General features: G+C 41.0%; 1 protein-coding gene across 3 annotated transcripts in view, besides 1 other annotated feature; it reads right to left on the bottom strand.

Annotated features, from left to right (window-relative positions):
• Positions 1–12,129, bottom strand: part of PREX2 (phosphatidylinositol-3,4,5-trisphosphate dependent Rac exchange factor 2) — a 284,987-nt gene extending 272,858 nt beyond the window's left edge. For all 3 annotated transcript variants that reach the window (NM_024870.4, XM_047422268.1, NM_025170.6), the window contains exon 1: positions 11,640–12,129. In NM_024870.4, the coding sequence (NP_079146.2) occupies positions 11,640–11,780 (141 nt within the window). In that variant the 5' untranslated portion in view covers positions 11,781–12,129. The remainder of the gene's footprint in view (positions 1–11,639) is intronic.
• Positions 8,347–9,017: an enhancer, noted in NCBI's record as "OCT4-NANOG hESC enhancer chr8:68867393-68868063 (GRCh37/hg19 assembly coordinates)". NCBI's record gives its function as "activates a minimal SCP1, AML or CMV promoter by ChIP-STARR-seq in primed H9 embryonic stem cells {active_cell/tissue: H9 hESC(primed)}" and the evidence as "EXISTENCE:reporter gene assay evidence [ECO:0000049][PMID:30033119]".

Below are 12,636 nucleotides of genomic sequence, written 5' to 3'. Positions count from 1 at the left end.
CCACCCTCTGTCCCCCTAGGGCTGGAATGTGAAAAGTGTAGTGGTAAGTCAGCTTCAACCATAGGGAAAAGGACAACACCCTACTATACTGGTTCCCCCACCTTCTCTAACCCATTGGAAACACCTAGAGAATCTACATAAATACTGAGGCCTGGCTCTCACCCCCACATACTCAGATTTCATTGGTCCTAGGGGCTGGTAGAGCAATAAGATAAAAGAAGCAGGAGTCTCTGAATAACCTGATGTGGCTGAGCGGCTAACCCCACTGGAACACCACTGGGGTATATTTAATTTAAAAATTAAATAACCAGAGTTCTAAGAGAGAATGCAAAAAAGGCCATGTTGATTACATATGGCTTTCCTAGCCACAAACAATCCTTCTGCATTGTTCAAACTATTGTTATTTGGTCTCAGTTAAGGCAGCTGAACAAATATCCTTACGAATAAACACAAAATTCTGGCCTTCAGGAAAAAAAGAATATGTTAAGTACAGGTAAAAAAAAAATACTATTCTTTTTCTAAAGGAAAAACTAAAGTATAATTATTGAAAACAAAAAAGTGCAGTTTTAGCGTAATCTGGGGAAATTATGGCTGAACTAGAGATTTATTAAAGAAAAAACAAAAAATAAACTAAAAATATTAGACAAAGACAGAAAAAAGATACTAAAGTTGGCCAATTCATTAATGATTTGCATAAGTCAATGAGGCCTTGGTATCAAAATGTGATGATTTTAGGACAGAGTTAAATAAATATTGATTTCTCTTATAGGCCCATTTTTGACAGGACATAGGTTAGCCTGCTTTAAGACATGGTCTTAATAAGAAATAATAAAGATATAGTCTCCTTCTATTTTGTTGCTCTGTCACCCTGAACATGTACCTTCCATTTCATGTTCTAAAATTGCTGCCCCATCACCTGCCATCACATCCTCATACCAGCCAGGGAGAAGAGGGAAAGGAGAAAAGAGAATGCACACTCTTCACAATAAGGGCACACTGCAGAAGTTACCCAGGCCACTTCTGCTCACACCCCACTACCCAGAACCTTTACATAGGCCCACACTTATCTGCATGGGAGGCTGAGAAATGTAGTCTTAAGCTGGACCTAAAACTTTTATCACTATAGAAGAAAAGAACATTGGGTACTGGGGACACTTAGAAGTCTCTGCCAGAGGTTTCATTATGAAGTGGTACAAGAAAACTTGAGATAAAGTTGTGTCTAGAATATTCAAAATACATTTTGTAAATATATAAAATATATAAAATTGGCCAGGCATGGTAGTTCACACCTGTAATCCCAGCACTTTGGGAGGCCGAGACAGGTGGATCACCTGAGGTCAGGAGTTCGAGAGCAGCCTGGCCAACGTGGTGAAACCCCATCTCCATTAAAAATACAAAAAATTATCCAGGCGTGGTGGCAGGTGCCTGTAATCCCAGCTATTTGGGAGACAGAGGCATGAGAATCACTTGAACCCAGGAGGCAGAGGTTGCAGTGAGCCGAGATCATGCCACTGCACTCTAGCCTGGGCAACAGAGCAAGACTCTATCTCAAAAAAATAAAAAAAAAAATAAAATATATAAATACAAATATATTTATATATAAAATTATAGAAAGCCAAATTTGACATAGTTATACAGTATAGAAAATGAAAGCCCCCTTCATCCACATACCTCTGGGAAAATAATGAATTCTTAAAATAATCTTGGAGTATGTGGGTGCGGGACTAACATTTAGGTCAATTAATAGAATATAATAATGCCTTTCCATAGATGGTCTCCTAGTGCTACTGATAGAAATAAGGCTTTGGAATGAGAGATGTTATTTCTGGAATCCTAAAATTTCTTTCTTTGGGGCAACAGTCTCAAATAAGAAAAGGCTGGAACTCCTAGGAAGCATGAAAGCAAGGCCAAGCTGAGGCATTACAAGGCACCAAGGGAAAACATTAGCATTTCTTGCACAATCTCTGAAAATGTGTCACCATCTATAAAGCCTCTCCTACTGGCAAGAAGGCAACTTAAATAGATAATTAAAATAACAAAAGTGGCAAGCCAAAATCAAACATAGATATCAATCCATATTTGACTCTTTCCGAGAAACAAAGTTTTCAGATGAATAAAAATGTTTATCCATCTATATTCTATATTGTGATATTTTCACTGTAAGACCAGAGAATATTTTTATATCAGTATTCTAAATTTAATCAGATGGAGTCATTTCTTAAGTACTATACAATTTAACCTTTCAAATGAAGGGCTTGCCTTTTAATGGAAAATATGCATTTCACATTAATAACAAAACACAATGTCCTTGGCTAAGATACTCTCGAGCAAAATAGATCCCTTTTTGTACACTATGCTCCGTTATATGTAAGGCTATACAACAAATTTATTCAATAAATCAAAGTCTGAAATCACCGATACTAATTAGAAGTGCTTAAAAATCATAACTTCAAATTAACATATCATTTTCTTAAAATTTCAATCATTGAACTCTTGGATCAAATGCAATAGTTTATGAAAATGGGGGAATATTTTTTTAAGCAGTTATTATTAGATGTATCATCATGTGAATAGTTATGTTCAATACCAGGGAAAAAGTGACCCAGCCACACTTTTAATCAATGAAACATTTACTACAGGATGCTTTTCCTGAATTTTTGATTGTTTGAGGCAACTACAATGTTATAAATCAAAGATGATTTTAATATAGCTAATATAATTTTAATAAATTGTAAATTCTTCAATTTACAATTATAATTAAATCAAAGATCTTGATTTTAACATAGCTAATAATATAATTCTAATAAATTCACATTTGAAAATTTTTAATAAATTTAATAACACTTTTAATGAAGAACAAAAAATCTATCTCATGAAAAGTAAATATAAATAAAATGTTTAAAGAAATAATGCAAACTAAAACAATTATTTTTAGGTCAAACCAATAGTGCTGAAAACACAGACATAATAATTTTATTTGGTATGAAAATATAATACCAGGTATATACTAAAAGAATTGTTAAGAAAATGCTGTTTAAAACAAGTGCTGAGGAAACTATAATCACACTAAAATGTCAGATAAATCATTTTCTTTTTTTTACATGGCTAATGACTGATATGTGCATCAAATGTAAAATAGAAGTTTTATACTATTTGCACCATGGTTTAAAAAATGGTTGTCATTATCTCTGAGATTTGAACCTATTCATACTAGATGTAATAAACCAGAAGTGCTTACGTCTCTACTTGAGCTCCTAAATTTGTATGTTGTGTTTAAGAAAATCACATTTAAAAGAATAATTGAACAAAGCCTATCATACATCCACCCTCAGATGTCCAAGCTCAATTCCCTTTTCTATTCCTGAAAGTGTGTGTCCAAATCATTACGGTTCTCTTCAGGGCACTGCCCTCTCAGCAACAACAAACAACAAAACAAGAGCAAAACAAAACAGAACATCAGACAGAAAACCAGAGTTCAACTTCATAGAGGAAGAACGACCATCGGATAGCAAGCAACCTCCATACTTGCCTCTCCCCTAAAGTGGCCCTTGTCCTTACTCATAAGTTCCTTCTGGAGGAAAGCCATCCCTCCCTGGTGGCTCCCGGAACACTCCCTCTCCTGCATTCCCTAGGCCCCGCTGGAGTTCTCAGAACCTTCTTCTATTAAACTTGTCCTTATGCCTCCAGGCTTGGAAAAGACAGGGTGACTGACAGACCAGGCTGGTGACTCTCAAGCTGGTCTGAGCACGTGCCAAGCTCAGTCTGTGGATAGACAAGACAGAGGAGAGGGAGATAAGCTTGGAGTTTATGGAGGGGAAAAAAAAACCACTTCCGGCCGGGCACCGTGGCTCACGCCTGTAATCGTAGCACTTTGGGAGGCTGAGGTGGGGGAACTTCCGTAGCTCAGGAGTTTGAGACCAGCCTGGACAACACGGTGAAACCCCGTCTCTACTAAATTAGAAAAAGTTAGCTGGGCATTGTGGCATGTGCCTGTAGTCCCAGCTACTCAGGAGGCTGAGGCAGGAGAATCGCTTGAACCCGGAAGAGGGAAGGTTGCAGTGAGCCAAGATCGCGCCACTGCACTCCAGCCTGGGCGATAGAGTGAGATCAATAAATTAATTAATTAATTAATTAATTAAAAAGAAAAGAAAAGGAAGAAACACTTCCTACCTATCAGGACTTTACCTACAGAAGCTGATTTGAATTTCAGGCCAGCCCTGTGAGGTATTATCAAATGTGTTTTCCAAATATGAAACTGAGACATACAGAGGCTGTGTTGTTTGCCCAAAGAGAGAGTTTGTAAGTTTCAGTGCGAGGATTTTAAACCAGTTCATCAGATTCTGTGCCATGCAGTTCACCTCACTGTCCCAGTGTGGGAGGGAGAGCCTCTGGTATGTGTTCACAAGGGGCCACAAAGACCATCCCAGGCAGTTCCACTAGCTGTACACTGGAGAAGCAGCAGAATTTGTAAAATACACAAGTGACAGCTTGCCCATTCTTAGTTTTACTATGTTTTACTATGGGTATGTTACACAGCAAGATGGCTCAGAAAATTTCAGAAAATTTTGCCTTGTCTTATCTCCCAGTGCCATGGGGGTGCTTGCTATGCTTCCCCCAAAGATGCCATTTGCCTTCTGCCACTTTCTGTTTTCACTGCTTTAGTTCCCTTTTTATTGTCTCTCTACCCTTGGCTAGGCTCATCTGCCTTACCCATCCCTAGACAAAATCATCCCCTTCTCTCCTCGCAGTTACCACCAAACTCCTTGAATAGTTTATCCATCATCCTTCACATCCTCAGCTTCCACTCGTGTCTCAACTGGTTCTGACAGTCTGGCTTTTGCTCACACGCTCTACTGAAGCTAAAACCCCAATGACATTCTAACTGCCAGATCCAGCGACCTCTTCAGTCTTCACACACCCCACTTCCCTCAAGTCCTGCCACTTTAAAGAGACCTTTCTTTGAAAACTAGATCCTTCCTTGGCTTTCAAAGTATCAACTTCTCCTAGTTCTTTGTTTCAGCCTTTGATAGCTCAAAGTCACCTGCACACTCTACTCTTCCTCTATCCTTTAAACATTGACTCTCCAACATCCTACCTTTTGTTTGTGTATTTTCTTCCTCTAATTGCTCTCCTTATGCCATCTCACTCAATTGATGGTTTCAAAATACATGATTAGTTAATTTTTAGATCTCTCACTTTTGGCCCAAATTATTTCTCAAGTTCCACATTCTTATCTTCAAAAATCATAGTAGTATTTGTGGCTCAGCTCAACATGTCCAAAAGCAAATTCATTTTCCTTTTCCTCCTAGTGCTGTTCTGTCCCCTGCATTCCAATTCTCAGTCAATGACACTACCCATCTAGTCTTCAAAACTAGAGACTTAGCCCCATCCTATGTTCTCCATTCTACTTAAACCTCCACTTCTGAGAGTATACAAAATATTAAAGCTTCTACCCAAAAAAGCCCTCATAGTTGGGCGTTTGATTTGTTTGTGGTTTGGTTTGGGTTTTCTGCTGTTACTGTTCTTTTATATTTTCCAATGCTTCTACCCCAGATCAGACTTTCCACATTTCTTACCTGGACTAATGCAATGACAGACTCTTAATGGGTAACTAGACTTCAATCTTTGTTCCTCAACCTTGTCAACAGAATTCTCTTGCTAAGAAACAAATCTAATCGCAATAGCTACTATTTTTATATTAAAGTAATTGGTATTATAATAGGGTATAATTACAAGACTGTTTCAGACCCCTAAATGTGAGGATCTGCCACGCTGAGGTCACATAACACATGCAGCACTTTGGGGATGGATAATTCTCCCAGTATAGCACATTCCTCCTCCTCCTTTAGGAGCCAGCTCTATCATCACCTCTTTCCAAAACTTTCCTTGACTCCCCAACTGAAAGAATCTCTACTGCCTCCACGTGACTTTGCTTATGGCTCTAGTGTCGCAGCTCCCATAGAGTATTGTGATGACCCAGCACCTAATATAAGCTGCGTTTGTCTGCACAGGCTGCCATAATAAAATACCACAGATTGATGGCTTAAGCAGAAATTGATTTTCTCACAACTCTGAAAGCTTAGAAATCTAAGATCAAGGTGTCAGTAGGTTTGGTTTCTCCTGAAGCTTCCCTCCTTAGCTTGCAGAGGGCTGCCTTTTCCCCATGTCCTCCCAAGGCCTTTCCTCTGTACACCACAGTATCTCTCTGTGTGTCCAAATCTCCTCTTCTTTGAAGGACTTTAGTCAAACTGAATTAAGGTCTACCCTATGACCTCATTTTAACTCTATCACCTATTTAAAGGCCCTATCTACAAATACAGTCCTATTCTTAAGTATTGGGGATTAGGACTTCAACATATGACTCCTGAGGAGGGAAACAATTCAGTCCATAACATAAACCTTAAGCATAATGTGCTGAATCAATCATCTTTGCCTGGAAGAGTCAGGTCATGACTTAAAGAGTTTGATTTCAGATGCATTCAAATTCTGCTTTGTTTGCTTTTGCTTTGTTTGCCTGTTTGTCTGTTTTCTTGAGCACCTGCTATTTACAAAGCCCTGTGTTTAGGCCAAGAAAAGCATACATAGGAAGTAAATGCAAACCCCCTTTTCTCTGGGAATTTGCCATGTAGACAAATGTTTTTTCTAACTGCTTTTACGAAAGCTCAAATCTGAGAAAGGTTGAGCCATGCACAGAGAAGCCAGGGTGACAATCCTGAAGCCATAAAATCTAGCTCTCCAGCAGCCCTTGCAAGGGCCTCTGGAGCTCCAGGGAGCACAATTTGAAAGAGCTAAGAGACATGCATATATTAAGCTGAATAATAGAGTGAGGATGCAATTGTTTAAACTCCAAGGCGCCATACTAACTGTGGTTGTTACCTGGAATATAAAGTTTTCTCACTGTCTTAAAATCAACTAATGAGCATTTATAAGAATATCATTAAGAAGACTACACTAACAAAAGGAAAACAAAGAAGGAGGAAACGAAGAGAAGTGGGGACATACAGAAAGGGTAGAAAAGGAATATAACAGAAACAAAAATTCTATCTAATGATGATCATAGGCATGGCTCTTTATAACAACTGTAGCATCAGCAAAATAACAGTAACTACTTATAGGACCCTCTTATGAGCCAGATGGGCCAAGCCCAATGCATATATCTCATCATCCTTACAATACCCCTGAGAAATGCTATTGTTCTCCCTTCTACGAATGAAGAAAAAGGGGCATGAAAAGTTAGGAATGTGTTTAAAATCACAAAGCAAATTAGAGATGGGACTCAAATACCAAGGTATCCAAGATCAAAGCCTGGACAGGCAACAAACTTGAAAATATTTGGTTTATGACAAGACACATAGCTTGAAGTCATTGTTTTAATATGCCCACAATGTGGACTAGCCATGCATTCTGGTTTGCCAGGAACAATCCCAGTTTCCATCTGTTTCCCAGTGTCATTATTAATAGCACTCCCTTTCACCCTCAGAAGTGTCCCAGTTTAGACAGTAAATTATATGGTCATCCTGCCTCATTGCCACTGACCCACAGTTAAATGGCCTACACAATTTTCCAGGCCCAGTGCAAAATAAAAATGTGAGGTTTCTTGTTCAAAAAGCAGGGGGCTGTGGGGGAATGCTATTAAAGGTACTGAAATATAAAGCTTTTTTCTTTCATGTATCTGCTCTGCTCATGTCCACCGTCCCATCAGACTTCATTTGCAAAACACAAGGTCAAAGATAAAATTGGCAAGAATTTCAAGATGGCAATAGCAGAGCATTAAAACAAGCTGGGCATCCTTCTCAGCTCAGAACCCTGGGCCACTGCACAGGATGTGCATCCATGAAGCCAGCCCTGGGTCTTCCTTTTCTCTGTCCACTCACATGAGTCTGTCATCTCGGCAGGCTCTGTCACAGGTTTGCAAACAGGAAACAGGTTGTAACTTACTATTGTCCAGACTTTGGATGTTAAATACTGGATGTCAGGTTCATGTAATCATTTATTTAGAAGAAATGTTTGAAAATATTTTAATAAAGCACAAAATTTCATTTCCCAAGCAAAACAAGAACATAAATTCAAGCAAATTATGTCACTCTCTACCATTTTATCTGTGACCTAAAAATAATTAATCTAGATAGTGTAACCTATCCATGATCTCAAACAAAAATTTAAAATATATGAAACAATAGTGCATGCAAAGTCTTTAATACCTCAATACCTGATTTAAATCATGTTTCTGTTTTAAAGGCAGGTACCACATGTTTAATTTGAAATTTTTGACTGCATAAATTCATATGTGCCTGAGCAAAACTGAAAATTCTACTATCTATTTTGACCAAATGGAAGAAAACAGGAAATCAAAATGTTCAGGATGATTGAGGCACTATCCTTAAAAATGGAGTGGGAGGATAGAAGATGGGTCAACTCATTGATTCATGCATGCACTCAGCAAGCATTTATTGAGGACCTACAATGTCACAAGCACTGCACACAATTATGGAAAGCACAGGCACACAAGGTGGTATGTCCCTGTCCTCAAGGAGGTCTAACAGAATGAGGACCAAAGTAAACAAATGCACACATCAACTACTTTGGGTACTATGGAAGAAGGAAATGCAGGGTAGAGTGGATACAAAGCAAGGAGCACCTGGGAAGAAGGGGCTAACTGAGCCTTGAAAGCCCAGTAGGAATCCACCAGGTACAAAAGGAAGGCCCCAGGAAGAACAAAGGCAGAGGCCTGAGGAAGCACAGCCCACCATGGAAAGAGTAGCCAGCTGAAGACACAGAGCTTTGTTCAAACAGCGGTGTGTGCCTGGGGGCAACTACAGAGAAGATGCAGATAGACCCATACCTTAGCTTAGAGAAGAAAGGCAATGCTCATGGGCTGTCTTGGGGATGGCAGTGGGGGAAGATGCTCTTTCCTTAAAGGCCAAAGTGTGGGAATTGAGGAGAGAGAGGGCTCAGAAATAGGAAAGATTTTAGAAAAGCTTTTCCCTCTAGCCATATGATTTCTTTTTTTTTTTTTTTTTTTTTTTTGAGATGGAGTCTCGCTCTGTCATCCAGGCAGGCTGGAGTGCAGTGGCATTATCTCGGCTCACTGCAACCTCCACCTCCCAGGTTCAAGTGATTCTCCTGCCTCAGCCTCCTGAGTAACTGGGATTAAAGGTGTCCACCACCACGCCCGGCTAATTTTTTGTATTTTTAGTAGAGACGGGGTTTCACCATGTTGGCCAGGCTTGTCTTGAACTCCTGACCTCAGGTGATCCACCCGCCTCGGCCCCCAAAAGTGCTAGGACATATGATCTTTTTATAAAGCTAGTAATACCATTTTGTTTGCTTATTTATAGGGCAGTTAAGTAAAAATATGTTCTTAGTAGAACTAAAAATATGTTTTCTACCTCTTCTTCCTCTTCCTAATAAAGATTAGTCATCCTTCATCCATGTTAATGGCTTAAAGCAATAATAGAAATGATTAATGACTAATCTAACAAATATTTAATTTGACTTAGGAGTAAACTATCAATTTTTGGCAACAAATTTACCACTCGACTTATTTAATACTATGGCTAACTTTTAAAAATAACTTCTATTGCTTGTTTCCATCTCTGATCATTCCCTTAGGATAGGTTCCTAGAAGAGGAATTACCAGGCCAAAGGGTTTGCATAGATTAAAAGCTCTTGGTACATATTAGCATAGTCTAATATCAAAACCAGAGTGACTACATCAACTTCAGGTAACCAAGAAAACTCCATGGGGAGTAAATGTTGCTATAAATAACACCCTAAAAAGAAAATCTAATAATCTATTATAAATAGATCTTAGGCTTTGTAAGCCAGAGTAAACTTTTATTTAGGATGGCATTCAGACTAATTAGTGCATTTGTGCATATAAACATAAACAGGCACAAATGATGCACAAAGAAAATGAAAAGTGGAAGAGCCCATAAATTCTGAAAGAGATAAAAAGAAATCATGAAATGATGTTCTCCTTATAAAAGGGGAAAATTTATTTTATACTTTCCACACTTTCTTACCTAACTCTATATACTAACAGTAAGTTTTCTGTTGTAATGATCAGGTTTAAGATTAGAAGAAAAACTGATATTTTAAATAAAGATCAACAAATTGGTTTTTAATATAATTAGATTAACTGTCTCTGCAAATTAGCATTCTGCACAGTACTTTGTTCACAGATCTTCAGAAAGAGTAATTATGTAAGAAATGACTCAGATTCTTCAAAAGACAAAGAACTTTGTTACCAAAAAAGTTTCATGAAAGCCAAATTTAAAGCTATTAAAAATCAAATCTTAAAAACATACTTTTTTGACAATCTTTGTTACAAGGAAGTATATAATAATTCTATAAACCACCAGTTACCAGGATATTCTCAAATACCTGTATATTTGCAGAGAATGTGGCCCCTGGAAGTCAAGTATATTGATTTTGAGAAGTCAACCATAACGCAGCCTGTACATTTTACATCACTTGAGACATTTTTCTTTCCTTCTTGCCACAGCCAAGAAGTGAATTTTATCTGTCATGATTATAAGCAGAAAGTTGACAGATTTCAGAACACTAAGCAGGAAGTTTGGCACCTGAAATATTTTCCTTCAGACCAAGGGGGCATGGAATTGGTTGTTGGAAGGAGAAGGATTTGGATGAGATCACAAAAACTAAAGCTCCTGGTTCTTTGAATGATGCTCTCCCAGGAATCTGGGTGGAAAGAAGCCAAGGCTCAAATTCTTTGTCTTTTCAGCAATGAATAGGAAAAATTCAACTTTTGAGTGTTATCTCAGCAGTTACTTTCACTCAGTTTTGCCCCTTCGGCCCTAAAATGAATGAGACGTTTTCAAAGCAGATGGCAGTGAGTCAAGCAGAAACGTGGAATATAAGTACATCCCCACTTCCACGAAGTCCCGAAGCTTGATTACAGCACTCTCATGGGCCATGTAAACAGGGGACCAGAAACTGAGCAGAAGACAGATTTAAGCCGGGGCGGGGGGCGGGGGGGAGGGAATTGTAAGACTAGGACAGGGTGAGCGCCACATGTGGCTTTAATATCCAACAGCTGCTAGAGATCATCACCCCGCTGCTCTCTCTGTACCCCTACACCAGAATCCTCTGTCTCAAAGACCATAACTAAAGCGGCCACTGCCATGTTATCTGAGTAACGAACTCAAGCTCGAGCACATTCAAGGATTTTTTTTAACTTAGTGTACCTGGATGTAGCCGACTGGACCTTTAATCACAAAACCAAAGCTTTAAAACAAAGTCTCCAGGAAAGAACAAGAAGGAAAATCAATTACACAGTGCACTTGAGCAGACTGGGGAGGCGGGTAAAAGAAAAGTGAGGGAAGATAGGGCAGCCGGGATTCCCTGGACTGGAGCTCTCTTCTCTAGAGCTAACTTTTCAGACCTGGAGGTCTCCAAGGCCCCCGCAACTCAGTGAGTCTCGGGGCACCAACAAATCCCCGCGGGGGTCACCGCGCCCGCGAACGCAGAGTCCACACGTGGATTCCCGCGCCTGTGATGCCCCGACCCGTCCCGGGTCCCCGCACAGACAATGCCGCGCGTCCTTCCCGCAGCCACTCCGGGACCCGCGCCCCGCGCCGCCCGGACGTCCCCCTGCGTCTGCCGGGGACACTCACCGACACCAGGAACTCCAGCGTGCCCACATAGTCCCGCTCGGTCTTCTGGAGCTCGCTGAGCACGCACACGCGCAGGCGAAGCTGCTTCTCCAGGTCCTTGGCGCTCTCGGCGCGGCTGTCTCCGCGGCTGTCCTCGCTCATGGTCGGCGGCGGTGCGCAGCGCGGCGCTGCCCGCCGTGCTGAGCGCTGACCCGCGCGCCCGCTGCTGCCCGGCCCCCGGCGGCGAGAATGGAAAGTTGCCGCCTCCGCCAACTCCGAGGAGAGACAGAAGACTTTACATGCTGGGGAGAGGCTGGGCGCAGGGAGAGGAGGGGATCGGGCTGAAATCCCGGCGCGGGGGGCGCGGGGCTCTGCAGAGGAAACTCCTGGGAGTGGGGGCTCCGGCCAGGCCCTGCGCGCCCGGCCCCGCTGCTCTGGCCTCACACGGCCGGGGCTGGAGGGGAAGCGGCTTCGGCAGCCACAGCAGTGACTTGGACATTAATCAAAAGCTTTGTATCCATGTGACTCCGACCCTTTACCCTTCGCCAAATCTCAGGAAAAAGGAAACACAACCCTGGGGAAGTACTGCGTACTGGCTAATCACACACACGCGCGCGCGCGCACACACACACACACACGCACACACACACACACACACACACACAGCAGCACTTGATATGGAACTCACAGGAGGTTCCCAATCCCAGGGACACACACTCCAAGGCGCAGCTCGAGGGTTACTCCTAAGCCTCCGCTATTGTTTAACTTTAATGTGTTTCGTACAAATCCTGAAAGCAAAGAAACAAGTCCCCACGGTTACATAACTGGATGGGAACAAAAACAACCACGGTATTGACCCTCCCTCTTTGAAAAGAAACACATTGATTTTTTGTTTCATTCAGGCACAAAACAGGTTTGCTTTTAAAACCCTCCAACTGAGAATAGTTCACAGGGCAGACACCCTCCAGTCTGAGCTTGGAAAGTCAATTAGCATAATAAATGAAGACACTATGGGAAA

This window comes from Homo sapiens, chromosome 8 (genome assembly GCF_000001405.40).
Source record: "Homo sapiens chromosome 8, GRCh38.p14 Primary Assembly".
Classification (NCBI taxonomy): domain Eukaryota; kingdom Metazoa; phylum Chordata; class Mammalia; order Primates; family Hominidae; genus Homo; species Homo sapiens.
The sequence above is the reverse complement of the archived record's forward strand: the minus strand, read 5'-3'. Positions and strand labels throughout refer to the sequence as shown.